The 27,972-nt window shown below is 45.8% G+C and overlaps 1 protein-coding gene and 1 long non-coding RNA gene across 4 annotated transcripts in view, besides 7 other annotated features; one reads left to right on the top strand and one right to left on the bottom strand.

Moving 5' to 3' along the window:
* Positions 1-2,540, bottom strand: part of CCND2 (cyclin D2) — a 31,592-nt gene extending 29,052 nt beyond the window's left edge. Inside the window, exons 1-2 of the mRNA NM_001759.4 lie at positions 2,067-2,540; positions 82-297 (exon numbers count right to left, since the gene is read on the bottom strand). Of these exons, the coding sequence (NP_001750.1) occupies positions 82-297; positions 2,067-2,261 (411 nt within the window). The 5' untranslated portion in view covers positions 2,262-2,540. The remainder of the gene's footprint in view (positions 1-81; positions 298-2,066) is intronic.
* Positions 118-27,535, top strand: CCND2-AS1 (CCND2 antisense RNA 1). 3 transcript variants are annotated; one of them, NR_149145.1, is made up of 4 exons: positions 825-1,006; positions 23,117-23,935; positions 24,758-24,862; positions 27,109-27,535. It is a non-coding gene; the product is annotated as a CCND2 antisense RNA 1 (long non-coding RNA). The 3 variants fall into 3 exon arrangements; NR_125790.1 differs by lacking the exons at positions 825-1,006; positions 23,117-23,935; positions 24,758-24,862 and adding an exon at positions 118-243; NR_149146.1 differs by lacking the exons at positions 23,117-23,935; positions 24,758-24,862.
* Positions 2,610-2,699: a silencer, noted in NCBI's record as "silent region_4152". NCBI's record gives its function as "represses an Ori minimal core promoter by ATAC-STARR-seq in GM12878 lymphoblastoid cells {active_cell/tissue: GM12878}" and the evidence as "EXISTENCE:reporter gene assay evidence [ECO:0000049][PMID:35858748]".
* Positions 3,230-3,349: a silencer, noted in NCBI's record as "silent region_4151". NCBI's record gives its function as "represses an Ori minimal core promoter by ATAC-STARR-seq in GM12878 lymphoblastoid cells {active_cell/tissue: GM12878}" and the evidence as "EXISTENCE:reporter gene assay evidence [ECO:0000049][PMID:35858748]".
* Positions 4,130-4,249: a silencer, noted in NCBI's record as "silent region_4150". NCBI's record gives its function as "represses an Ori minimal core promoter by ATAC-STARR-seq in GM12878 lymphoblastoid cells {active_cell/tissue: GM12878}" and the evidence as "EXISTENCE:reporter gene assay evidence [ECO:0000049][PMID:35858748]".
* Positions 4,234-4,425: a silencer, noted in NCBI's record as "fragment chr12:4381043-4381234 (GRCh37/hg19 assembly coordinates)". NCBI's record gives its function as "represses an EF-1alpha promoter that drives an FKBP-Casp9 reporter gene in an ReSE screen in K562 erythroleukemia cells {active_cell/tissue: K562}" and the evidence as "EXISTENCE:reporter gene assay evidence [ECO:0000049][PMID:32094911]".
* Positions 5,050-5,119: a silencer, noted in NCBI's record as "silent region_4149". NCBI's record gives its function as "represses an Ori minimal core promoter by ATAC-STARR-seq in GM12878 lymphoblastoid cells {active_cell/tissue: GM12878}" and the evidence as "EXISTENCE:reporter gene assay evidence [ECO:0000049][PMID:35858748]".
* Positions 6,634-6,703: a silencer, noted in NCBI's record as "silent region_4148". NCBI's record gives its function as "represses an Ori minimal core promoter by ATAC-STARR-seq in GM12878 lymphoblastoid cells {active_cell/tissue: GM12878}" and the evidence as "EXISTENCE:reporter gene assay evidence [ECO:0000049][PMID:35858748]".
* Positions 6,714-6,923: a silencer, noted in NCBI's record as "silent region_4147". NCBI's record gives its function as "represses an Ori minimal core promoter by ATAC-STARR-seq in GM12878 lymphoblastoid cells {active_cell/tissue: GM12878}" and the evidence as "EXISTENCE:reporter gene assay evidence [ECO:0000049][PMID:35858748]".
* Positions 27,536-27,972: the final 437 nt, after the last annotated feature.

The raw sequence follows: 27,972 nt of genomic DNA, 5'->3' as shown, positions 1-27,972 counted from the left end.
GCAGTGGTGATAGAAGGCATATTGTTGGCCAGGGGAAAGCGGGAATCGCAGAAAGGAAGGGAGGAAGGGGCCGGTCATTACCAGCAGCTCCTGAGGCTTGATGGAGTTGTCGGTGTAAATGCACAGCTTCTCCGCGGTCAGCGGGCTGGTCTCTTTGAGTTTGGAGGCCAGGAACATGCAGACAGCACCCAGGAGTTGCAGATGGGACTTCGGAGTCGGGACCCCAGCCAAGAAACGGTCCAGGTAATTCATGGCCAGAGGGAAGACCTCTTCTTCGCACTTCTGTTCCTCACAGACCTATAATGGGAGTGGGAAAGGGTTGGGGGGCGGGGGTGGAGAGCATAGCATCAGCAAAAGAGAAAAAGAATAAAAAAGCGTAATCTATCGAAACAAAAAAAATTAATTTTTTTTTGTGGGAGGGGGAGGGGACCAGAATGCGTGATAAGAATAAAGAACAAAGATGAGGAAACTGGAGTGAATCAGAATAGCCCATCAGTGCTTTGGTATTCCCAGGGATCCTATAAAAGGGGGTGAACTACAGCTCCAAAACGGGGAGTCGGAGAAGTGCGCAGCAGCCGCGGCAGCTCCGCGACGCTCCCTTTGGCTACTCCTTCGCGCACTCTAACTCACTCACTCTTTTTTGGATTTCGTCATCTTTTCAAAAAATCAATAAAAATATTCTGGAGGCTCCGGGGGTCCACTTCTTGGTCTCATCCGGATCCCCAGATCCTCCTCTATCATTCCCGACAATTGGAAAAAATGTCTGGGGGGGTCCCTGCGGCCCAGGGGCCGCTTTTGGGGGGGCGGGTGAGGAGAGGTGGGGAAGAGAGGGGGAGGGAGGAGAGGAGGAAGAGCGCCGCAGCCTCGGCAGCTGGAGTCGGAGCAGGGGGGGATGGTTTCAAAAAATAATTAAAAATCGAGGAAATATCCTAGAAAAGCCCTTTTGGCGTGAAAACCCCAAAGAAGAGCCAGGCTTCCCGAAACAGAGGTTTCGGGTGCCAGAAAGGTCTGTATTCCGACCCCTGGGGCTTTGGATCCCGGGAGGAAACTTGAAGGGGTGAGCGCCGCGGCGGGAGTGTCCGGCTGCGGCCCACAAGGACAGAAACTAGGGAACGCGGTGACGAGCGAGGGGAAAGACGGGAGCAGAGAGCCCTGGAAAGAGGCACGGGGGGCTCCCACCTCTCCTTCAGGGGTGACCCGGTATCCCCCCTACACACACCCCCTCCCCCCCTTCCTACCCCACCCAAATCTCCGCACCGAGGAAGCTGGAAAACCAAACTGTAAGTAATCTTCGTGAGGTGGGGGGTGGGGGAGAGGGCACGATTAGAAGTGGGGTGGCCGGGATAATGGGGTGCGAGGGTAAGCGGGCGACGTTTCCCAGCCTTTCCAAAGGGAGTTTGCAAAGCAACATGGCGAAACCACGGCAGGTCCAGAGCTGTGCATACGTGGGCACACGGCTCGCTGGGCAAAGACTTGGAGTGAGGGGCAAGAAGCGGTTCTTTTGGGTTCCCCTGAAACACGCGTTTCTTCAATGGGACTTCCGGGGCTCCCGAATTCCCCGTTTCTCTCCTTCTCCCTCCTCCCTCCACCTCCCCGGTGAAGTGCCAGCGCGGAGTCGCGACCACAGGCGGGGACCTGAGGCCAAGACGAATTTGCTCTGGCCTTTTGGGGGGGGTTGCCTTTCTACTCGGGGTCCCGATTTCAGGCCCCGACTCTCTTCCTGGCCGCAGCGCAAGCAGCCGCGGCGGCTTCGCAAAAGACAGGTCGCGAGGGGGGTGGGAAGAAGAGGCAGCCACATGCAGGAACACGCGCGCGGGATGCTCCCCTACCCCCGCCCAGGACAGCCTCGCTTCTCCCAGATTTTCCTCCCCCCTCTGCCTCCCCAGTTTATCTGGAGAGGAACAGAAATAAAGCCACGCGTCTCGCCAGAAGGCGCGCGGTAAACTCCCGCACAGGAGCCGGGAGGCCGGCGCGGGGATTGCCCTCTCCCAGGTTTAGGGCTCCGGCCGGGGACCCGAGCATCCGGAGGGGTCCTGGCTCCTGGCGAGCGCCACCCCCCGACCTACCTCCAGCATCCAGGTGGCCACCATTCTGCGCATGTAGGGTTGGATGTCCTTCTGCACGCACTTGAAGTAGGAGCACTGCGGAAGGTAGCGCTCCTCGATGGTGAGCAGGTTCTGCAGGACGCGGTCGTCTCGGAGCAGGTTGCGGTCCCGCACGGCCCTGCGGACCGGGTCCACCTCGTGGCACAGCAGCTCCATGGCCAGCCCGGCGGCCCCTCTCCCTCCTGCTTTCCCCGGCCTGGAAAAAGGTTTTTCTGTTTTTGTTTTTTGGAAGGGGAGGGGAGAGCGTTCCCCTGACCTCCTTCCTTTGGCTAAATAGGGGGTTTTCGGGGGAGAGGTGAGGGCAGAGAGAGAAGGTGGAGCAGAAGGGAGGCGAGGATTGGGTGGTGGGCGAGCAGAGCCTCGGGGCTGCCTCACTCGCACCGGTCCTCCCCTTAAAACTGGTCTCGCTCTCCCCTGCTCGCTCTTCTCCGCTCTGAAGCGGTGACGCAAGCTGGCTGGGCAGTTAGCTCTCCTCCCTCTCCCCGCGCTCCCCGCTCTGGTTCCTCCTCCCCTTTCCTCCCCTCCCGGTCCTCCCCTCCTCCTTTCAATCTCTCCCTCCCTCCCTCCTTTTCCCCTCTCGTTATTAAGGAGAACAGCAGCTGGCCCGACCCAACTTCAAACGCGGTCCCCCGCCACCCCCCACCCCTCTCCCTCCATCCAGCCCTGCATGCCAGGGGCCCCGGACAGGGCAACCCACAAAAAACTACCGACTCCTATTTCTGCCCTCTAATTTCACTCATTCTGTAGGTGTAGCACGCCAAAATACGACCCTCCAACTTTGGCTTCTTCAAAACGGATCCTAATCCTCCTGCCCTTGTATTTAAGATCCAGGAATGTAGGGTAGATTATCTGAAGATGGGGTGACCTCAGACAATTTAGAAATAGGTCCCTTAAGTGAAAAATAAGGGAGGGGGTGATTTTAGAAAATAGCAACCTCGCATACCCAGAGATAAAGGTCATGTCCCTGAAGTCTGTGTTCCTGATAACTTCGAAGCTGTTTCGAAAGCCCCGATTAAAGGGACCAGAACAACGTCCCTTCTGCCCCCCCCTGCAGAGTGTGTGCAGAGGAAGAAGAGGGAGGGAGAGGTGGGTATTAGGAAGGAAGGGGGGTGCTTCTCTGGAGGGATAGAATGTGATCCTCGAGCAGAAACCATCGTGTTTCTGGGGGCTCTTCGGGCGCCGTGGGGCGACGCGGTGCAGCGTCTAGGGCCGCCGCAGGCCGGGGGCAGGGCTCCCAGCGGTTCCCCCGCGGCCAGCGGCCACGCAGGAAAAACCCGCTTCCTCGCCCCTGCATCTGCTGACAAGCCGCCCGAGGTGTCTGCGCTGAGCGTGGCCACACCGATGCAGCTTTCTAGGAAATGGCCCGGGAGGGGGAGGGGGCGAGTGAGGGATTAGGTCCGGCTCCCCCTCGCTCCCCCTGCGCAAACACCACCACCCCTTCCTTTCCCCGGAGGCATGAGGCCTCCACGCTCGGTCCTTCGCCCGCATCCTCGCCGACCCCTCCGGTTTCGCGCCTCACTCGCCAGGCTTTCTCCCTGGGAGCCGACTGCGGTGAAGTCGCCGCCAGCACGGTCGGCCCTGACACGTGCTCTAACGCATGCTTGAGTCAAGGCTGTCTTTACAGGAGATACGATCTGGTGGCGTTTCTTCACCTCCTTCCTCCCGTCACCCCCCACCCCCACCGCGCCCTTTGGTGTATTTCACTCCAGGAGGAAGGGGAGAGACCAGCGCCCTGATGTGCTGGCCAAGCTGGCACGTGCAGCGGGCATGGCGTGGCTCGAGCTCTCTGGGCACACCGAGGCCGACTGAGTGCCTCCCTCACCGAGAGAGGGGGCCCGGGCAGGGGCGCGGAGAGCCAGCAAGGCGGGGTGGGGCGCGGGCTGGGTGAGCCGTACACTAGGTTCCCTGCAAGGCGGAGGAGGGGAGCGAATAAACTAGAGGTGCAAGCGATTAACTCAGGCCCCGGAGCCAGCCTCTTTAAACGAGGGTGGGGCGGAAGGGGTGGTGGGGGGGAAAGGAGGGGATATCGCTTTAAAAGGGTGAGGAAGAGTTTGGGGCGCCGTCTCCCCTCCCTCTATTTGCATAGCCAATAGCTCTGGGGCTCCTGCTACTGCGCGCTGATTGTTACCGGGCAGATTACTTTTTTTTTTTTTTTTTTTTTTTTTTTTTAGTAGGACGCGTTCCCCACTACATCAAAAGGAAGCCAAGGGAGGGCGGAGGGAGAGCGGGCGCTGGGGCGGGCGAAAGCTGGGGAGAGGCCCGGCCGCCTCCGACCTTATCAATAGCAGCGGGAATGAGTATCCCATCTCCTATATGTAAAGAAAGGGGAGGGAAGGGGCGGGCGAGGAAAATGTCTAATTGCTGTGGAAGCCATTAGCTTTCAGGAAGAAAAAAAGCTCGCTGAAAAACCCAAGTTGCAAACTCAAAATGAAACAGTCCAGCGCCGCGGATGACACCCGGGCCGAATACCGTGTACACCCGCACACAGTCGGCCCCGAACAATCACCTATTGGTTTTAGTCACGTTGGGCTTCCCGACTTAAGCTTTTGAGTCACCCCGGATAAGGACATTCACTTACATTTTAAGACCCCCATAAGGGAATTACTCCAATTTCACCTAAGCCACCTTTGAGCGGATCAAAGAAAGTTGCAGCGGGGAGAGGCGAGAGAAGGAGGGAGGGCGGGAGGTATTTTTAAAGTATAAATCTAACCCGACAGGCAAGGGACAGAGGCCGCCGGGGCTCCCAGCCTCTGGACATCACTTGATATAGCTCTGCGAGCAAGGTCTCTTCCACCCCGACTCCGCACACCCCCCCTTCTCCGGGGAAAGGCATCCAGAGCTCTGGGTCTCCCGAAGTGGGGGCAGCGGGGGCGAGGAAGAAGCGGGTGGTCGTCCCGGGGCCCAGCCCACCCCGAGGAGAATGCCTGGGTGGCGAGTCCTCACGTCTCGGGAGTGAGCCGAGGGCCCTCTCGCCCCTTCCCTCTCCCCCTCCCCCTACTCCGTCTTGCTTTACAGAGAAATTCCAGCGGGGAGGGGGGCAGCGAATGGGAGGGGCAGAGAGGGTCGCGGCCGGATGCCCCCCCTTCCCGGCGCCCTCTGCATTCATGGAGACCCGCAAGTTCGGGCGCTTCCCGCGTGGCAGGCTCGCCTCTTGAAGTTCCCCTGTCCACTTCCCCTTCCGATTACTGACTGTTCCCGAGCGTGAAGCTCGCCATCGAATCCAATCCCCGGTGGTTTTGCAGACTCTCACACGTGGGGTGGGGCGTGAGAGGGTGCGGAGGTTGGCAGGAATGTCTCTAGGAGGCTTGGACTGGAAACTGAGTTTTCCCTTTTGGTCGCCACTCCAGCCATGTGTTAAAACCCTAATGTCTTGTTAAAATGCACTCCACCTAGCACGCGGGAAAACGCATGTTGCCTTCTAGGCAAAAGTGCACACTTTCTTTCAGTGTAGACTTCGGTTTCAAGAAAAAGCGCAAGAGCCTGTGCTCTGGCTTTGAAGTCCAAACTGATCACCGTGGCGCGGGGGTGGGGGGCGGCGGGAGGGGGTAGATTGTTGGTTCTTCCTTATCTCCTTTTCACCCTTCACGGAAAAAAAAATACATATATATATATCCCATGTAGGACTGGTGATAAACTTTAGCGAACGCCAGTTTTATTGGACTTTTATTCTTTTTCCGGCCGGCTCCCCACCCTCTACGCTAGCGTTTTGGAGTTTCGGTTGGAAAGTGTACAAAGCCTGGAGGTGGAGGGTGCAGCAGGGTGTTGGGTGTTTATAGGCACTTTTCTGCAGGAGCCTGCAGCACTAAGCACACATACTCCCAAGCTTACCTGGAGGATGCCTCCCAGCCAGGTGATTCCGCGGTCGGCTCAAGGCCCGGGAGCAGCGCGAGTTCGAGTCCCGCCTTCTCCGCGCAGGGGCGCCTAGGCCAGGTGGGGAGCGGGTAGTGACTGAGTTCAGGCTCAGAAATGGGAGCCACTGCCTTCCCCTCGGCTCCCCCAAAGAGTGGAGCTGTGTTTGTGTTTCTCCGTGGAGGGATGGACGGTCAATCAAAACCGAAAACCCGACTGGCAAAATGCGAGGGGACACATAAATCCGAGGGGACACATAGGAGGCACATCAAGAGGAAGGAGGGAGTGCAGGCAAAGTAGAAAAATGCGGACAAGGAGAAGAGGAAAACGTCGGGAAGCGGAGAGCACGGGGGAGCAGGGTGGGTGGGGACGGGCAGTGCGATTGCAGGTGTTCACTCGCTTCCGGGACCCTCTGGTCGCAGCCGCGCCCGCCGGGGCGCTGGGCCGCTGCGTTCTGGAGGGGGGCAGAGTCCGCCAGGCCTGTGCATCCGCACTCCCTTCGGCGAATTTCGGCTTGGACGGGGCTGGATTACTGAGGCGGCAGATGCGACAGGCGTGAGTTAAGAAGGCGAGCGCCTGCCGTCTGTCACCCACCTAGCATCTCACTCCCCTCCCTTCGGAAAAAAAAAAAATTAAAAGACCCGAACTTCCCCCTCTTCCTGTCTGATTCAGCTTAGGACACGCCTCACGCGGCCGAAAATAGCTCTGGAAATACATTTGCTTTACAAAAGTGAATTTTCCAATAAGCTTTGGGGCGGGGGGCGTCCGGCGGTCGGCGTCGGGGGGTCCTGCCTCCCGGGAGGAGAAGGAACCGGCCGCCTCCGCCCTTCTCCCCCTCCAGGCGCCCCCGGGAGGGGGCCGCTGGGCGGCGGAATCGCGCCTCCGCTCGGGGAGCCACCACGCGGCTTTTTCGCGGAATTTTGACGTCATCCACACGTGGGGGAAGGGGCTGGGAGAGCAAGAGGAAGCGGCGGGGGAGGGGGCCGCGGCTGGGAGAGCGCGGCGGCGGCGCGGCGGGTCTGGCACCCTCGCGGTGGGCGCAGCGCCGGGCAGGGTCCGGGCCCTGGGCAGCGCGGCAGAGGAGGCCGTGCCGCGGACCCCGGAGCCAGCGCCGCGACCCGCCTCCCTCCCCGCCCCCCGCCCCTCGCCATCTTCCACCCCCAAGCAGTTTATTTTTTCTACTTTGAAATCGGGGCCGCTCTTTGCTCCGGAAAAAGCTCATTTCTTTAGGTTATGGTCCTGTTCCGCTGGGTACTGAGATCAGACTGAAATCCCGATCACTGGTCGCGACCCCCGCCACTTGACTTTCTATCCTCTCTCCACTTGAGAGTCGTGAATGTCTTTTTCGGTTCCTCGGGGAGTGAGTTCTGCATTGACTTTTACACCCGGAGTTTTTCATGCGCGACATATTCCTCCCTGCTCCCCCGCCCCATTCACCATCTCAGTATCAGCTGGGTTGGTTAATACGATGGCTATTACATGTAAGATAACCCGTGCATGCATTGTGAGCGATATCGGATGAATTTTGCTGCATTTGGAACAAATGGATCTAGAAATACCCTTTCAAAACAGTTTTACAAATCGATGTGAAAACATGTAGGGCGACTCCCTTCCCACTCGCTGGATACCCTCGTGGCATCCGTGCTCATGCAGAATCTTCTAAACTGCAAGGGCTGAAAACTGCAGCTGCAGAGTGAGCCCACGCACCTTCATTTCCCCTAAATTTGGGCAAAGTCCTTTTAATCTTTCAATCTGGGGGGTTATAGCTGAAATGTGTCATTATTTTCTAAACCCACGGTGACAGTTCTGAGTTTATGCTGAAATTTACAAGGAGCTTCAGTGGGGATGTTTGGGAGAGAAATACTGTGAACTGACTTTTACCTCTTTGAGGTAAAGGGGCTGTTGTAGGAATCAGATGCAGAAAGCTAGGGGTGTCTGAAAATGTGGATTTGAAGTGGAATTATTTGTTTCAAAAGTAGGAGAGAAGCTTTCTGTCTGAATCAGATATTAAGTGTGGAAATGTTTCTTTTTTAAGGTGACACAGTTTGGTTATGAACAGTACTTTTTCCTTCTTTTTAACACATTCCCTCTATTTTTAACTTATTATTTATTTCTTTTTCGTTTTATGATTGCTGGTCTGACCCAAGAGACTTGGTTTTGTTTCTTCTGGGGGAAAAAATGAGCTATAATTAATAAAAATGTCAGTAATTACTGTCATGATTAGCCTGAGTGAACTGTATTTAAGAGTGCTTGCTTTTTGGTGCCTGATTTGATGGACACTTGGTTTGTCTGCATAAAGGTAGAAAAAATAGGATAAATTATTAAAAGAAAAGGAAGGAGCCAAAGGAAGTGTTTAAAAAACTAAAAAAGCAAAATGTCCTTTAAATTTAGCTTCACCTTCATTTCAGACAGTTAAGTAGTGGAGGTTAAGTTAAGCACTTTAGAGATGTAAATTCTTTGTAAAATGTCAAGACTATCCTCACCAGAATTTTTTTTTGAACAATAGTCAATTTTATTTGTTTTCTAAGCACTTTAATTTTGTCCAAATTCAAACATTCATTCCCCTTAAAAATGTCCACTTTCCCAATGTGATTAAATATTCTTTCGATTTCATGGTTTTATTCAGCTGTGTATCAGTTGCAGCCAATTGAAGCAATATAAAGTATTTCTAATAAATATTTCATATTTTAATTTTCAATCTTTAAACTTAAGAATTACTAGCATCTATTAGTACAGTTTATAACATAATTCCATAACATGCTAAATTCATATTTACCAAACTTAAAAAAACAAATTAATAAAAAAAACAGAGAAATAGTTCTCTTCTTGAGGCTTTTTTTGGTTTGTTTTCCTTGTGGCAAATTTCAGGAGGCAGATTTAAAATTTTTCTAAAATCATTTTCTTGTTGTTCTTTTGTTGGCATTAAAAGGAATGAGTTCTGAAATGTGAAACAGGTTGACTGTAAAGTTTTATAATCTTCAAAATGTGTACCTCTGGAGAGATATGTTCTATTTTAGAATTGACCTGAAAATAGGTAGTTCGTGTAAGTGTGCTAGACAATCCAAGCCAGTTGGATGTAGATGCCTATAAGGAATGCATTTCCTCTTTACTCAGCCTTAAATAAGGGCATCTGCTCTTACAAGAACTTGAAACAAAGTCTGCACCTATGCATGATGCAAACAACTCAAAAAGCACAAATCCAGAGCAAAGGGGGTTTATGTGGAAGGTGCAATTAGAGCAAAAAAAATCCAAATTTATTTCTGCTCTTAGCTATCTCAAATCATACTTTCGTTGTGGTCTCATCAGTTGTAAACCAAATAATTATTTCTTTGTGATGTATAAAGGTGAGTTCCTTCAAGCTTCATTGGTAATAATAGTAATTATGATGATGATAATAATAAAAATTATCTTCCTTATTCTTTCGGTGAGTGTGTGTGGGGGGATGTTCACTTTATTTCTTTAAACATTGTCATCAAATTGTAAAAAAAAAAAGTATGGATGCCAAAGTTAGGTTATTGTTCTGAGAAATAACACAAAAAACATTTAATTTTGTGCTTTTGAAAATAAAAAGTCACCAACATTTAATATACCTATTGCCTAGGGGAAGCAAAAAAAAAAAGACAGGATTAAAAAGGAAAAGAAAATTTCTTTGCATAATTTCCAAAGCCTTTCCTTCATCGTGCCCACATATGTTTCCATTTTTGAGAGCAGCCAGTCAGTCCATCAGGCAAATGCAAACCCAGGACCCAAACTCTTTCCTGGTGTCAAGGAAGATATTCTGAAGCAAATGGTTTGGGTTAGTTTACATAAGGTTTCAGATGAAATGTCTCACATCTGGCATCCCATGGCCACCAATTATTTCAGGATCGTGAACCATTATTTTAAAAAAATATTTTGAGAGAGGCGAGCCTAGATCATGGATTAGGGCTGTGCAGGCCGTTTTGTGTGGGGGTCTCACTGAAATCATTTAAACTCAGGAAATTTAGTTGTATCAAGTAGCAGCACATCATCCCCATTGTGTAGTTCCAGTAAACTAGTGACTTGCAACCTTTTCTACCCCCCTACTTTCTTCTGAATATATATTCTTCTAATGTTTCTCTTTTTAAATAAAATGGCATATTTAATTTAAAATTTCCCTAACAAAATATTGAATAAGGCTCAAATTTACTTGCTTTTGTACAAGAAAACTTCATATAATCACTCTTTGTAGTGTAATTACCAGCAATTTTATGTCATCTAGCAAATGATTTAAGTAAGTCGGTAATGGAACGCCAGTGAAATTTGCTACACTTGGGATGAAAACCATACTTACCTCAAGAAATCAAAGTCTGACCTTCCATTCAGACACTTAAGACTTTACCAAGGCAGACTGTATGTTTCATTTAGTGGAAACCTTTCCCATTCAGGAAAGCATCATTCTCAACCATAGATTAGATGCAGTCTTGCTTGGAGCCAGGGGAATGGACTGCAGGACCTCATGCCATTTTGGCCAGTCACAGAATACGCCTTCTGTGTCTGGAAGTTTGCGACTGAAACTCTATATAGTATTCATTAAGGTTATTCATGCTGAGAGATCACATATGTGTTAAACTGATAACATCACAGGTCTGTGCAGAGATACATCAGAACATGTCAGGGGTATGATTCCAATCTGTAAGGTAGAATTTAAGTGGTTTTAATGGAAGAGTTAAATATGCTGAGATTTTTGTGCTTTGGAGAATGCCTTTGGGTTTTGCAATTTATCCATTCATTTATTTGATTAAAATTGAGTCCTTACCACATACCAAACACTATGCTAGGCATTGGGGATATCGTGGACATAGACAATGTTTTGGAAGGTAGACAGGAAGGAGAGTTGAATCACACAGTCCGCGTCCCTGGGAAGCACATTGTCTAGTGATGAAGCATAGGAAATAATACCCCGGATAAGTACATGTTCTTAAAAAATAATAAAATCATAGAACAAAAGGCATAGGAAGATATGCTATTTTATCCACCTTCCACAACATACCTTAAACCAGGGAGGTGGAAATTTATCTTTTCTTTAAAACTCAGTCTAGTCAAGTAACTGTTACTTGGATTGCATAGTGATTTTAAGAATTATGTTCCTAAATTATGTTCTTAATTTGTTTATATTCTATGGGAACGAGTTGGTTGGATGTCTGATTCACATATCACATATATGGGACTCAGTCCCTTTAAAGTAGCCAAAGATAGAGCCGTTTCCTTGGTCCATCATACTGAGAGCGTTCCTTTCTTTGAGTAGCTGTATTTCCCACAGCATCTGTTTCTCGTCTGAACGAGCCCTCCCTGTATCTGACAGGGCATTGATTAGTGTTTCACTCCTTTGGCTAGGGAATTTGAGGTCACAATAGCTCATTTTCTTGTCCTGGGACACCCAGACATTAAGAGCAGAATATAGACCTCTGATTATTAGCTTGACTGTCTCCTAGAATTGATGCAGAAAATCCTGTCCTTTTTATTAGCATCATGTTGGTGAAACAGCTCTAGCCTAGAAGTCAGAATACAGCCATCCCTCAGTGTCTGTGGGGATATTGGTTCAAAGACTCCCACCCCACCACCAAAATCCAGGATGTAAAAATCCGATATAAAATGGTGTAATATTTGCATATAGCCTATACACTTCTCCCATACACTTTAAATTATCGCTAGATTACTTACAGTACCTAATATAAAGTAAATGCTTTGGAAGCGGTTATGCTGTGTTTTTATTTGTATTACTTCTCATTGTTGCATTTGTTATTTTTTTACTGTGTTTTTTTCTCTGAATATTTTTGATCCGTGGTTGGGTGTATCTGTGGATACGGAACCCATGCATAGAGAGGGCCGACTGTACCCTCTTTCTTGCTTCTACTCTGCACTAACCAGCACTGTGACCTTGGGGATAGATTATGTGTTTCCAAGATTGAGTTTCCTCAGCTACAAAATTAACTGGCTGTAGTAAATGATCGTTAAGTTCCCTTTCAGCTCAAAATCTATAAAATTCCAGTGACTTTATTATCATCATCAAAATCGGAATCAATTTATTATATACTTTATGTTTTAAACAAGGATTCTTAAATTGTGGGTTTAGGTATGCTCTCACTTCCCAGGTATCTGGGAGAATTAATCTATCAAGAGTTGGAACTTTTAACATTTAGTTCCTCATATAGATGGGCACTTGGTACATGTCGGCTGAGGAAAAATGCTGTTTTCCTTGTCCTAAGGAACAGAACTGCCTAAGTTAATAGAATAGCGGTCTTCAAAAATATAGAGAGCATAAGAATATATGGACTATAACACTGCTCCAGGGTGCTTAAGGAAATCTTAGCAGGTTAGTTTAACCTAAAGCTTAAACTAACCTAAAGCTTATTCCTACAATTCAAACAGAGCCCCCATCAGAGCGCATATAGACACGGTTTGGAATGGACCCTAACTTGCAGATCCTTCTTTAGGTGACAGTCCATGGACCTGGTGAGCCTCTTTAAACAAAGCTCGTTCTGAGCTACCCAGAACCATGGAGCATCAGCTTGCTCCTTTAGTGAAAAGGGAATTAAGCAAATTTTGCGGAGTTGCAATCTTTGGACAAGACATCCCCTTTTGTTTCCTGGCAAGTCTTGATAACCAGAAACAAGCAAGGAAAGATTTCTGCTGTATCCCACTTTTCTCCCTCACTTTTCATTGCTTTGAACATGGGAGAAACATCATCTATTGAGATTACATGCACTCCAGTAAAGTCCACTTACATGCAAATTATTTGCTTTACAGAATGATATGTTTGTAGACACGTTTCCTTTTTAAGGTGTGGCTCCTACAAAAGAGAAATTCATAGTAATTAATGAATAATTATATCTGAGATGGTTTTTAAACAATGTGCTAGATAATTTGTAAAATGTATGGTATATGGCATGGAGAGAGTGCTAGATAATTTGTAAAATGTATGGTATATGGCATGGAGAGAGTGCTGGATTTGGGGTTAGGAGAGATGTATTCTAGTCCTCATTCTGCCACAAGCTGTGTAACTTGGGGCAAGACTTAAACAAGATCACAGCAACTTATGATTATAAGGAAACTTCATAGGTCTCCGAGGTCATACTCCCATCTATCATGGCAGTACCTATTCAGTTAAATGATTTACTAAAGGTCACACAGCTAGTTAGGGGCCCAAACATCCTACCTCCTGGCAATTTTTACCCTTAAGTGCTGTCTCCAGCCACTGAAACGAGGCAGAACAAGCCATCTCCCTCATTTATACTGACAGCTGCTCAGATATTTGAAAGCGCCATCTCTTCATCTTCTGTCCCTTAGACTGAATTACCCTTTCTCTTTAGCTGTTCAGCTGGACATTAGACCACCAGCAGGCTGCCCTCCTCTGGATCCTGACTAGTTCACTGGTATCCATCTTAAAGTGTTGTGTCCTTCTTAATGTGTGGCTAATGAGAGAGAGCAATTTGGAGCAACTTCAGAAACCTCGGACCATCAAGGCAGTTACAGAAGAATACAATAGGGCGTGACTGCCATCTTTGCATTCTCCACCCCAGGCTCCTGGAACAAGCCTCCTCCAGTACCACTGGGGATACTGGTCTAGAGAGGAAAGATAAAATAGTTATCTCTTCTTCTGGAAGCTGATCTCATTAATGAAACCCCAGGTTGCACTCCATTTTCTCATCTGTAAATCAGGTGAACTAAATGAGGGATCATTTTACCTCATCTGTATTCTGTGGCCCCAAAGAATAAAACTAGTGTCACTGATTAAACATTAGAAGACAAATTTCTGGGCCCAGCGTGGGGGCTCACACCTGCAATCCCAGCACTTTGGGAGGCCGAGGGGAACAAATCACTTGAGGTCAGGAGTTTGAGACTAGCCTGGCCAACATGGTGAAACCCCGTCTCTACTAAAAAAACAAAAATTAGTTGGGTGTGGCGGCGCAGCCTGTAGTCCCAGCTGCGTGGGAGGCTGAGGCAGGAGAATCACTTGAACTGGGAGGTGAAGGTTGCAGTGAGCTGAGAACACGCCACTGCACTCCAGCCTGGGCAACAGAGCGAGACTGCGTCTCAAAAGAAAAGACAGATTTCTGTTTGTATAATGAGCTTCCTCTGCAAGTCATCCCTGCACAGTGGGGTTGACTTCAGGAATCAGGTAAAGTGCCTATGGCAACTCATTAGGATGTTATGAGGGGACCGAATAGTCATTTATTTGCTCTTAGCCTTGGTTTCCTCATCTGTAAAACTGGAATAATAATACCTACCAAGCAGGGTGATTGTAATGAGTAAATGTTTATAGTATGTTTAATACAGTGCCCTGGCATAGTAAGCACTGAAACAAAGCTAAGTGGGTTTTTTAAACTTTAAAGTAATTAAAGTCTATTGTGTTGTGTTCTTTCAGAACCAATTTACCTCTAGGAGTGTGTGGAATTATTAATGTATGTCATATACTGTGTGAAGCTATGGGACTTTCTGTACCAGATCTCAGCTCTGGGGGGTTTTTACTTTTTCACTTCACCATGGATCAGTCACTCAATGACTGTGGCCAACATGCTGTAATCTCAAACCAGTCTATTCTGAACTCCAGATTACTACATGCTCACTGACATGTACTAAGAGGTAACCTTCCAACTTGAGTAGAAGGCACAGGAAAAACTCATCCACAGAATCCCAGAAGTGCAAAGAACCTTAGGCATCCAATCCAATGTTTCCCAAAATGAGGAAGGATATATTAGTTCATTTTTGCACTGCTATAAAGACATATCCGAGACTAGGTAATTTATAAAGAAAAGAGGTTTAATTGACTCAGTTCCATGTGGCTGAGGGGGCCTCAGGAAACTTAGAATCATGGTGGAAGGCAAAGAGGAATCAAGGACCTTCTTCCCATGGCAGCAGGAGAGAGAAGTGCAAGCAAGGGAAATGCCAGACACTTATAAAACCATCAGATCTCACGAGAACTCACTCACTATCATGAGAACAGCATTGAGGAAACTGCCTCCATGATCCAATCACCTCCCACTGGGTCCCTCCCTTGACACGTAGGGATTATGGGTATTAGAATTCAAGATAAGATTTGAGTGGAGACACCGCCAAATCATATCAGAGGAGGTATATGGAGGAGCATGCATTTTGCATTTTAGTAATTTGAGGTTTATTCTAATGAGTATTAGGAAAAAAGTAACATTTAAACTCATAATTTCACAGATATTATGATGGTATTTAACTTTATAAAGGGAATTGATTTTTAAAAAATTAATTTGAATAAGTGATACGTAGATACAGGTTTTTTAAATCAGGAAGGTTGTATGCAAATAACTAAGATTTAGGAAACATTGCTTCCTTAAAAAACTCCAGATCAGAGAGGGACAGCAGCTCACATGCACCCAGGATCACACAGCCTTTTAGTGACAGAGCTGGGACTAAATTAGCGTGCCTCACTACTAAAACTACGGAAGTTAAGACTTTGCAGGGATTCTTCTCATTTAAGCAGTATTGTTACAATTTTTTCATTCTTTCTGTTTTCTGACAATATTTCATTCACTTATTGTTTCACAAATGAATTCTGCCCTATGAATGACATTAGATACTTCTTATTGCTTACTTTTGCTTTAATGATGCTCCCTACTTTGGGTTTTTGGATCGGGTACCTTGCTTTTCACCAGACCTGTGACTTTTGCGTCCCTAGGTGGGTTTGCATCTGTTTTCTCACCTTCTCAAATTTCTCTGCCTTTTCAAAGTCACTTTTGAACTTATCTTTCAACTACCTGAAGTGGTGATACCAGTTGGTGCTACCAAGAGGCTGACTAGAAAAAGGAAAAAGAAGAACAGGTGAATGTGCTGTCCATCAGGGACTTTGAAAAGCTCTAACATATTCTTGACAATCTAGAAAATCACATGTGTGTCTATGGCTCTGTGCATGCCCAAGAAAGACCTGAGAAGGTGCTACTCTTTCACCAAACCAGCTGACCTGGAGGCTCTGTGCAGGTAGAAAGTGACAGTGGACAGAACTTTAAGCTTCCCACCAGATTGTTGAAGGCATGCTCCAACAGATACAGAGTCCTCCAGCAAAGGCTGGGAAATGTATTGGTTTAAAGCATTTAAGGAAATCTCTGTCTAATCATTAGCTGACCAGGAAGCAAATCAAACAGAGAATTTAGTGGTTGCACACGACCAAATATACAGACTTTATAGAATTAGTCCAGGAAAATCACTAAGTAAACAACAACAATAAATTCAGCAGGATGTTGGGGGATTCTGATTTCCAGAGTTGCTACCTTGTATTATTTTAAATGTTTGGTTTTCAATAAAAAATTATGAGGCACACAAAGAAAGAGGAAAATATGGCCTATGCATAGGGGAAAAAAGCAATTAATTGAAACTGTACCTGAGGCAGCCCAAATGTTGCACTTACTAGACAAAGACTTTAGCTATTACAAATATAAATATGTTCAAGGCACTAAATGAAACAATCTCTAAAGAATTAAAATATAAGAAATAGAGAATGTCAGTAAAGAGGAAGAAATTCTTTAAAAGAACCAAATAGAAATTCTGAAATCAAATAGTAAAATAACTAAAATAAAAAATTCACGGCCGGGTGCGATGGCTCACACCTGTAATCCCAGCACTTTGGGAGGAAGAGGCAGGTGATCACGAGGTCAGGAGATCGAGACCATCCTGGCTAATACAGTGAAAACACGTCTTTACTAAAAATACAGAAAATTAGCTGGGCATGGCAGCATGCACTTGTAGTCCCAGATACTCGGGAGGCTGGGGCAGGAGAATGGCATGAACCTAGGAGATGGAGGTTGCAGTGAGCCGAGATTGCACCACTGTACTCCAGCCTGGGCTACAGAGTGAGACTCTGTCTCAAAAAAAAAAAGAAAAGAAAAGAAAAAAAATCACTAGGCAGGGGCTCAATAGCAGATTTGAACTAGCAGAAGAAAGAATCACCTAACTTGAAGCTGTGTTAATTGAGATCATCCAGTCTGAGAAACAGAGAAAAAAGAATAATGAAGAAAAATGAACAGAGTCTTAGAGACCTGTGGGGCACCATCAAGCCTACCAACATACACATAATTGGAGTGTCAGAAGGAGGAGAGAAAAAAAGTGCAGAAAGAATATTTAAAGAAATGATGGCTGAAAAATCCCAAATTTATTTAAAACATTACACATACAAAAAGCTCATCAAACTCTAAGTAGATTAAACTCAAAGAGAGTCACGCCTAGACACAACATAGTCAAACTTTCAAAAGAAAGAGAGAAACTTGAAAACAGCAAGACAAAAAGCAACTCATCACATACAAGGAATCTTCAATGAGTTAAACAGTTGACTTCTCATCAGAAACCATGGAAGCCAGAAGGTAGTGGGCTATCATGTTCAAAGCACTGAAAGAAAAATACAGTCAACCAATAATTCTATATCTGGCAAAATTATTCTTCAAAAATGAAGGCACAATTAAGACATTTCCAGATTTTTTTTAAAAACAACAGAGATTGCATTGCTGGTAGACCCTTCCTACAAGAAATACTAAAGGGTGTTCTTATGGCTTAAATGAAAGGATGCTAGACAGTGACTCAAATCCATATAAATACATAAAAAGCACTGCTAAATGCAACAACACAGGTAAATATATAAGGCAATATGAATGTAAGTTTTCTTTTTTTTGTAATTGTTTTTCTCTATCTGATTAAAAGACAACTAACTACATAAAGCAATAATTTTAAATGTGTTGATGGACTTATATACAGGTGTAATTTTATGACAATAATAACACAGGAGAGGGGAGGGAGCTAAGCTTGGAGTCAAGTTTTTATATAGTGCTGAAATTAAGTTGGTGTTAATCCAAACTAGATTGTTTAAAATTTAAGTGTTAATTGTCATCCCCAGAGCACCCAGTAAGAAAATAATTTTGAAAATATAGGAAATGAAAAAGAATCTACATGTCACACTAGATAATAGACATTTAACACAAAAGAAGACAGTAACAGAGGAACAGAACAACAAAAAAGACATAATGTATATAGAAAACAAATAGCAGAATGGCAAACATAAATTCTACCTGATAGATACTTACATTAAATGTAAATGGACTAAACACTCTAATCAAAAGGGAGAAAATAGATAAAAGAAAATATGATCCAACTATATGCTGTCTGTAAGAGACATACTTTAAAAAGCAAATAAGTTTAAAGATGGAAAAAATACATACTATGAAAATAATAACCAAAAGAGAGCTGGAGTTGCCACGCAAATACCAGACAAAATAGACTTTAAGACACAAATTGTTACTAGAGATAAAAAGAATGTTTTATAATGATAAAAGGGTCAGTCCATCTGAAGACCTAACAATTATGAACATATATGCACCTAATAGCAGAGCTCCAAAATACACGGAAAAAAATCTGTTCTGTATTGGACAGAAACTTGCCTCTGTGTTGCTTTTACTCCTGGATCTTATTCCTGTTATCTGGAGCCTCACACAACATATACCTGACACATATATGACTAGAAGCTTTTCCAGATATTTGAAGCCAACTCTCATGCCTTTTCTTACTTTCAGTTTTTTATGTGGCCTTGTCCCTATACATTTTTTTCCTAGAATGTATTTATATCTTTTATAAAGAAGGCTACTGCAATGTTAAGAGAGGAACCTACTTTCATAGAATTTCAGAGTTGGAAGGAAACCAAGATGATCTTATTCAAATCTCTACTTTTATAGATGAGTAAACTGGGGCCTGAGCTGGTTAAGTCATTGAGCCAGTTAATGGCAGACCAAGATTCATAATCTTGGTTTTCAAACTACTTGTTCAGTGTTTATTCCAACATTTTCCTTCTTTGATAGTTTTTCCTACTTTAGGTTGCTATTTCTTCTCCCTTCTTTCAGTGGCATCTGGCACCTTTCATCAGAGAAAAAAGCTCAGAGTGATGAAGAAACTGCACTAGACATTAAAAGACATGGATTCTTATCTTTTTTGGTCACTAATCAACTTTCGAGGCCTTGGATAAGTCCCTTATGAAAATAATAACTATTATTCACCAATAATATTTTACACTATTGAGTACCTACTGTTTATGAGGCACTGTGCCAGGCACTTTGCCTATATGCCTCTTCATATAAGTGTTCAAAATGTGTCTCCTTTCTTATCTATACAATAAGCAGGTTGTCTGTTGTCCTATCCAGCTCCGGAATTGGATGATTGTAAAAAGCTATCTTTATTAGTATAGTCTTATAATGCCTGAGGCTTCATCTTTATCTTCCTCTTTCTTGTTTCCTGGGCTGGCAGGAAATTGTAAGGAAGATTAGAATACTTTCTCTAGATTTGTCACTATAGCGAATCCTTTGTATGTGTACCCTTCCAAGGGACTTTCTATTTTCCCATAGGACTTGGCTTGACTTTTACTGGTCCTGTTCAGGGTTTCCAGGATCCTATTCTCAGCCTACTTCTCACTTTAGATTTTCCCGTGGGCCTTTGATTCACTCTCATGGCTTCTTATTTCACTTATGAGCTCAGAGAAGTGAATAATTTGATGAAGTTCACTCAGCTATTAGCAGCAAACTTGACAGTCTGTCTGATCCCACTGTGTTTGTTATTTCTGCTACATGATTCCCATCTCTGAAAGTTCACTTGATCTTACTTTCCCACCCTTGCTTAAGACCTAGCTCAAGCCCTAACCTGTCATCATCACACCAGGCCAAGTGCTCCTCCCTCCCAATTTACCCAGAGAGTGATGTTTGCACTGCACATCAGCCATCACCTTGGGACTTGCCCCTTGGCAGACTTTGTGGTCTAGTGGTTATGAATGTGGGGTCTGGAGACAGAGGGCCAAAGTATGAATCCTGGCTCTACCACTTATTGGCTGTGCAACCACAGAAAAGTTACTTAACCTCTCTGGGCCTCAGTTTCTTCAACTATAATCAGGAACTGCTAGTAGCACTTACTTCATAGGGTTGTTACGAGGATAAATGTGATAATCCATGTAAAGGCAAGTAGCACAATGCCTGACACATGAAAGAAGCACACATTAAATTGACTCCTTCACCAGATCTTGGGGTAATCCCTGATTGGCCCAGGATGATCAACATAATCCCATCCATCTTGCAGAGTGATTGAGTCAGAGTTGGGTACATGCACTTGACTAGTTTAGAGTGGCTTGCAGGATGCAGATGACGTGGCCTCAGGTATGAAGCTTGGAATTGGAATTGCCAAGGTTTTTTTTTTTTTTTTTTTTTTTAACTAGAGGGAAGTCAACTTGAGGACAAAGCTGACACATGTAGTAAGAAAGAACTGAGAAGAGCAAAGGAACTAGAACCAGAGGCTTGATCGGCTATCTCCTGAAGTCCCATTGACCTTTGGAATTTTCGTTGCTTGAGCCAATTAAAAATTTGGGGAGCCAAGCACGGTTGTGCATGCATATAGTTGCCTGTAGTCCCAGCTACTGAAGAGGCTGAGGTGGGAGGATCACTTGAGCTCAGGAGTTTGAGTCCAGCCTGAGCAACATAGTGAGATCTTGTCTCTAAAAAAATAAATAAAAATGCATACTTTTTTTTTTTTTTTTGAGACGGAGTCTCGCTCTGTGGCCAGGCTGGAGTGCGGTGGCGTGATCTCGGCTCACTGCAAGCTCCACCTCCTGGGTTCATGCCATTCTCCTGCCTCAGCCTCCCGAGTAGCTGGGACTACAGGCGCCCGTCACGACGCCCGGCTAATTTTTTGTATTTTTTAGTAGAGACGGGGTTTCACCATGTTAGCAGGATGGTCTTGATTTCCTGACCTTGTGATCCGCCCGCCTCGGCCTCCCAAAGTGCTGGGATCATAGGCGTGAGCCACCGCGGCCGGCCAAAAAAAATGCATACTTTTAAGTCAGGTGGGGTGGCACGCACCTGTAGTCCCAACTACTCAGGAGGCTGAGGCAGAAGGATTGCTTAAGGCCAGGAGTTTGAAGATATAGTGCACTATGATCATACCTATGAGTAGCCACTGCACTCCAGCCTAGGCAACATACGAAGCCCTGTTTCAAAAAATAAATTGGTACTTAAGCTAATTTGTTAGTTTTTTAAATCATCTGTAACTGAAAATATCCTCGATATCCTCATTGATACTGTATATTATTATTACTATCATCTTCCCATGTATATCAAACCTTTGTCATTAGATCATAATGTCCTTTGGAACAAAAATGAACTAAAATGAACTTACTGAGCAGTATGCTGCCATTCCACCTAGTACAGATCTGGCATATAGCAGGTTCTCGTCCATTCACACTTCATATTGGATACTAATTTCACCCTGGTATCTATGGATTTTCAGCATTTTTTTTTTTGAGATGGAGGAGTCTCGCTCTGTCGCCCAGGCTAGGTTGCAATGGTGCAATCTTGGCTCATTGCAACCTCCACCTCCTGCGTTCAAGTGTTCTCCTGCCTCAGCCTCCCAAGTACCTGAGACTACAGGCATGCACCACCACGCCAGCTAATTTTTGTATTTTTAGTAGAGACTGGGGTTTCACCATGTTGGCCAGGCTGGTCTCAAAGTTCTCACTTCGGGTGATCCGCCCACCTCAGCCTCCCAAAGTGCTGGGATTACAGCGGTGAATCACCGTGCCCGGCCCAGACTTTGAGCATCTTTAAGGCAGAAAGAGGAGGTGGCCAGAGTCCCAGGTAGGATGATGGCCTGCTGCTGCTTTGTCTTTTTACTGTCCTATAATGAGCGGAAAGTAAAATAGTTAATAGACTAGTTCATCCTTATTGAGCACCAGGGATTGTACACACCGGATCATCATTCTTCCTATCAGTTACCTGTGGGTATATTATTAATGCCCTGTGTTGCAGATTGGAAATTTATGCTCAACAATGATATTTAACTTATGTAGATCACACAGCCTCTACATAGCATAATTTAGGATCCTGTGCTCAAATTACTGTATCCATAACTTTTTGTCATCCCACTTTAAAGAAAATGAAATTAGAAGTCTTAGACAATGCATTCTGAGTATGGCTTACATACTCAGTAAAATGGTATACAGCTCTAATCAACAGACCCAGACTCAAAAAGCTTTGGACTGCTACCAAGAGATTGGTAAATAAATGTACATTAACTTTAAATAAAATGTGTATGGTATGTATGATTCATTTTTTATGATTTCTCACTTTCCCAACATTTTCAGATAACTCATCGTTTCCTCAGTCACATCAGAGAGATCCTGATGGTTTTCTTTTTGGAACTTAACAGTTTAAAAACCTAAATAGGATCATGCCAAACATATTGTTCTGTGACTTGATTTTTTTCAGTGAATAATCATCTCTTGGAGTCTTGCTATGCCAGTACATATACATCTACTTCATTCATTTTAAGTGCAGAATGCTTTTCAATAGCAAGGATATGCCAGAATTTTACGACTTCCCATAATTAATGGCATTTGGGGGCCCTCCTTCACCAGTTGTTTGCTTGTATACATAATGTGCCATCAGCATCGTCGCACTTGCTTCTTTATGCATTCAAGTGCCAGTGGAAGGAGAAAGAGCTTGAAGTCCTGATTCTATCAATTAAGTGGTCCAAGAAAGAGAATGAGCATCTTGAGGTCTCCATCTTCAACAGCCTTACAGTCTGGAGGGAAGCAGACACACACACAGCTTTTACTTAGGGAGACGGGGGTCAATTGAAGGTTAAGGGAGTGCAAAAAGAGGGAGACTGAGGGGTTCAGTCGAGGGGATGACTGAGAAGGCTGCCTGGAGGAGGTGTGCTTGAGTCCTGGGTTCAAGGGTTAAAAGGCTCTGATACTTGGTCTGCTAATCTTTCTTATCGTATCGTTGCCTGGCAGTATGCCTGTTATTTGAGTGGACTCTTCTTGGACCATTTGCTTGGATGAACAGTGGGCAGAAGTGGAAAGGAAGGGTGCTCTGGACAAAGGTGACAAAGCCCAGGAACAAAAGTCGGAAGGTGCACAGTGTGCCCAGAGGGCCAGGAATTGGGTGGAGTGACTGGCTCCTTGGTCGCTTGCAAGTAGCATGAGAATAGAGAGGGCTGGGAGATGCATTAAAAAGCACCAGGACAAATTTAGGTTTGCACAGAAAAGGACGTTTCGTCAGGGTACGTGAGGAAAGTTGAGTAGAGAATTTAGGAATGGAGCAGACGACTCTGGTTGGGATGATGAGAGCGGAGAGACAGATCCATGTTCTTTCCAGGTGCCCCAGCAGCTCCAGGTCTCGCTGAACCTGTTACTATGGCAGCGTCTATGCTTCACTTTTGAGGATTGCTTCTGCTTTGAAATAGCCGTGTGGAAGAAAAACTACAAAGTTTTGAGGGGGAAAAAACCCACCTAACTTTAGCTGCCGTTGTGTCTTCATCTGTAAAAATCTTCTTCATGTCTCATGGATTTCAACATGCAGTTTATCTTGGTTTGTTCCATAAAACATCAGATGCAACTTTAATGGCCTAACCCCAAAAAGATAACTTGGCAGCCATCAAGCATTCAGCAGCGTTCCAAATGCCCTCTTGCTGGAGCCAGCCTTCTACGGGGCCATGTGGATGTCAGGCACACACAATTTGAGTCACGCTGACATAGCTGGGATGCCTGGATTGCACTGGAATCTGGGGGGTACCAATCACAGGCCAGAGAGAAGCCATTGGCTGGAAGGAACAATGCCAGCGTGTTCACCGTCTCTGCAGAAGGAGGGGGTGTTGATGGTGAGGGGAATGACAGTTGCAGCCAAAGGAGCAAAATGACCCCAAAGCAGGGTGGGCACATGTCATTGATGCTGGGCAGAAGCACTCCAGGGGCTCAGGTCATGACCACACCCCTTTTCTCCTGCCCCACAACCAGAAAAACTAAGAAGGTACAAGATTTTCCCTAAAACTTAATGTACAGAATGCCCTGCTGTCTTCAGGTTTTTGGGAAATCCAGGGTTGACAACAACAGCCCAAATATATGAAGCACTTACCTCTACCAGGCACTGTCTGTATCTTACAAATAATTCGTTTAATTCTCACAACTCCTTAATGAGGTAAGTTTTACAATTTCCATTTTATGATGAGGGAAACTGAGGCTTAGAAAGATTAAGAAACTTGCCCAAATCCTGCAGCCAGAAATGGGCAGAATCAAGACATGAACCACAGTCTCTCAAAAGCCAAAGCCTGGGCACTCACTACTACCCTCAACAGCCCGGTGGCTGGTTCATGCCATCTCTGCCACCCTCACACAGCCACCTCTTGGATGGTAGAACCCTGTGTGTTGAACAAGTAGAGTAACATTCTAAAAGGATTCTTTTTCCTCCCCTGTTTTCCTGGGGGCTGAGTAGACATGTTTAAACATGCTGTTCATCTGACACTTGTTTACTTCAGTGGCTATGATGTGCAAGACCCCAGACCAGGAACAGTAAGAGGGCATGAGGATAACCCAGCGTGGAGACCACTCTGGAGGAGGCTGCAGACTGGAGGCGCTGTTGTAGCCAGCTGCATTTTGGAGGCTGGGTTGCCTGTCTTAGATCTCTAATGAGTTTGGTCATTATTTTTTCAGCCAGGGTTTTCTTCCTCCCTCCCTGTCTTCCTTCCCTTTCTCCTTCCTTCCTTCATTCCTTCCTTCCTTTCTTCCTTCCTTCTTTCCTCCCTCCCTCCCTCCCTCCCTCCCTTCCTTTCTCTCTTTCCTTCTATCTTTTATTTTCTCTCTTTCTCTGTCTCTCTCTTTCTCTCTTTCTTCCTCCCTCCCTCCCTTTCTCTCCTTCTTTCTTTCTCCCTCCCTCCTCTCCTCCCTCTCTTGGTCTCTCTCTCTCTCCCTTCCTTCCTTTGTTCTTTCAAGATTTTTCTTTCTTTCTTTCTTTCTTTTAAAGGTGTAAGCCTTTTTCTGGTTCACTACATGCCAAGGACTGCGCTAAATCATTCACATAAAACCACCAGCGTGCATCACCTCATTTGGTCCTCCCACAGTCTAACGGGTAGGTACTGTCATTACCCTCATTTTAAGAAAATGAAGAAACTGAAGCTCAGAGAGGTGAATTGATGTCTCCACCGTCTGCCTGATTCAGTACCCTGCACCCTTAACCACTATAAAAGAACAACATGCCAATAGTTCCCTAATGCTGTAAAAGGCACTGTTTTAAACGCATCCTTTATATCAACTCACTCACTCCTCCAAACAGGCGCAATAGAAATTACTATTATCCTTGTTTAATACATTGGGAAACCAAAGCACAGAAAAGTCATGTAATTTTCCCCAGGTCACCCAGCTAGTAAGTGACAGAGCTGGGCTTCTGTTTCACCGAGGAAGACATTCCTCAGTTTTTGTTCTGTTTTGTTTTTCACTTGAAATCCCCCGCGATGGCCCAGAGTGGAATGCCAGGGTCCTGAGAATAAAGTCTCTGAGCTGAACTGGGAAGGGGTGCCAGTGGCAGCTGTGTCCCCTACAGCTCTGGAAGGTGGAGGCGGTGGAGACAGCAACTACACAGCAGCCACAAGCCTGGGTCCCTGCCAGGGGAGACCTCAAAGTCCCCTCGAGGGTTGGCTTCTCTGTGCTGGGCCGTGCACAAAGGCGAGTCATGGCTTCCAGGAGGCCAGCAGAACATGGTCCTCGGGAGAGGAGAAAGCCCGAGGGAAGGGCTGATGGGACCTCAGCCCTCAGCTCTGAGAAGGGCTGCTCTTTAGGAGAGGGGATGTAGGTAACAGCTCCACCAAGAGCCAGGCAAGCAAAAGTAGGTTTCTGTTTGAGCAGCAGCTGGGGAATTTCAGGGAGAGAGAGGAATCCGTTCCCAACAGTGCATAATGTTCAACCCTGGAAGAGGTGACCATCAAGGGGGCCTCTAGAAAGAGTAGACGGGCTGCCCTTAGGCTGGCCTCTTTATTATCTCTGCCCCTGACCTTTGGGAATCCTGTCCATCTTTGAGTCCCTGGCGCCAGTGACTCCACTCTGCGAATCCCTTCCTGACCAGCCATCCCCCACACCCGTAAGACTCCAAGTTCTTTTTGGGGGACAGAAACCCCAAGTGTGCTGAGGTCCAGGCTGCTCCACATTCATCCCTGGGTGGGCTGTGGCTCAAACCAGTCATTTGGGTGACAGAAGTCTCAGACACTCTGGAAGCTGGCCCAGTTGGTCCTGGTGCCCCCAAGAACACTCATACCCTATTCTCCTGCAGCAAATATACCCTCTCTACTATTCGTTTGGCCTTGGCTATTAGGTATCATGTGACCTCGCTGGTGTGGCATCTCCTGGTGTTAGCGGCTTCTTGCATGAGTACATTTCTCAGATGATCAGACAACATTTATTGAACACTTACCATGTGCCACCTACCGCTGTAACTGCTTTATGGGGTTATCCATTTAATTCTCCCAAGAACCCCATGAGTTGATGTTGTTTTTATCACCATATTACAGAGAAGGAAATGGGGGCCTAAGTGCTCAGTGGCTACAGGATGAGCTGGGACTCAAACACAATATTGGAACCCCAGCCATCAAAATCTGTGATTTGTCCCTGGTTTGTGTCTCAACCAAAAGAAGTCAGAGTCTTTTTTACTCCCTTATATCTCCCGTAGCTCCCGGCCAGTGTCTGTATACAGTAGTTGTTCAAAAGATGTGGGCTTTTACTGACTGTTCAAAGACATTTCTAGGTTGGTTTTTTAATGATCAGTGAGACAGGGTGCCCTTAACAGGACAAAATAGTGTTGAATCCTTGGTAGACAAAATCAGGTGCTTTTTGGAAGAAATGAGAGAGAGATTTGCAGGCCATGTATTAGAAAACTTTGTTCCAAGTCTTTTTTTTTTTTTTTTTGAGACAGAGTCTCACTCTGTTGCCCAGGCTGGAGTGCAGCAGCATGATCTCGGCTCACAGTAACCTCTGCCTCCGTGGTTCAAGCAATTCTCCTGCCTCAGCTTCCCGAGTAGCTGGGATTACAGGCGTGCACCACGACGCCTGCCTAATTTTTGTATTTTTGTAGAGACGGGGTTTCACCATGTTGGCCAGGCTGGTCTGGAACTCCTGACCCCAAGTGATCTGCCTGCCTCAGCCTCCCAAAGTGCTGGGATTACAGGTGTGATCCACCATGCCCGGCCATGTTCCGAGTCCTTAAGGTAACAAGGAGAAATGTGAGAAGCCCATTTGGGAATGAAGGATGCAGGAAAGCCCTGTAACTGAGGCAGCCAATCAGAAGCTTTCATTAACGGCCCTCTTTCTTTTGTCCCCCACTTCCAGAAGAATCTACCATAAAACCAACAGACTCCTCCTGATCTCTACCTGTGCTGTCTGCCTCTCTAGTTCCGGACACTGAGAGCTGGTGCCCTGTGGCCACCTCAAGCTGGAACCCTGCAAGATCACCAAGAAGACTGCATGCCTCGCTCTAGCCTTCCTAAGGGAAAGTAGACTCCTGTTTTTGAGAGAAATTACCTGATTTCAAGAGAAACATAAAGGACTTTTTTTCCCTTAACATTCCACTCGTAAAAATGAAGTTTGGAAGAACTTCTGCAAACTCTGAGTGTTTTGGTCAATTGACCTTTTACTGTACTAAGCAAATCTGAAGCCACAAATACATTGGGGAGGAAGGTATACCCTTCACAAAAGATCCGTCACTTAGCCAGATACTCTGTTGCCATGCTTCTTTAAATAAAGCACATTTCTGGTATATTTTATTTATTTATTTTTATTTTTTAGAGTTGGGGTCTTGCTCTGTTGCTCAGGCTAGAATGCAGTGATATGATCAGAGCTTATTACAGCCTTGAACTCCTGGGCTCAAGTAATCTGCCTGCCTCAGCCTCACAATTCATTGGGATTACAAGCATGAGCCACCGTGCCTGGCTCTTTTCCTGGTATATTTTAAATTGTTTCATTTCCTTGAAAGTGAGATTTATCTATTACTTTCAGAAAATCTGGCAGGATATACCTGATTGCTTGAGATCCCTAAAAATCGTATTACATTAACATTGAAAGGGGCATTTGAGTCTCACATTCTCACTTGAAAGATGAAGAAACTGTGGCTTGGAGAGGTGAAGTGACTTGTCTTCATCACACAGTCTTGTGCGTAGCAGGCTGCCCAGTGTCCAGCTTTGTCCCGTTACTGTG

This window comes from Homo sapiens, chromosome 12 (assembly GCF_000001405.40).
Source record: "Homo sapiens chromosome 12, GRCh38.p14 Primary Assembly".
NCBI lineage: Eukaryota > Metazoa > Chordata > Mammalia > Primates > Hominidae > Homo > Homo sapiens.
Note: the sequence above shows the minus strand (reverse complement) of the source record. Positions and strands in the feature narration are given on the sequence as shown.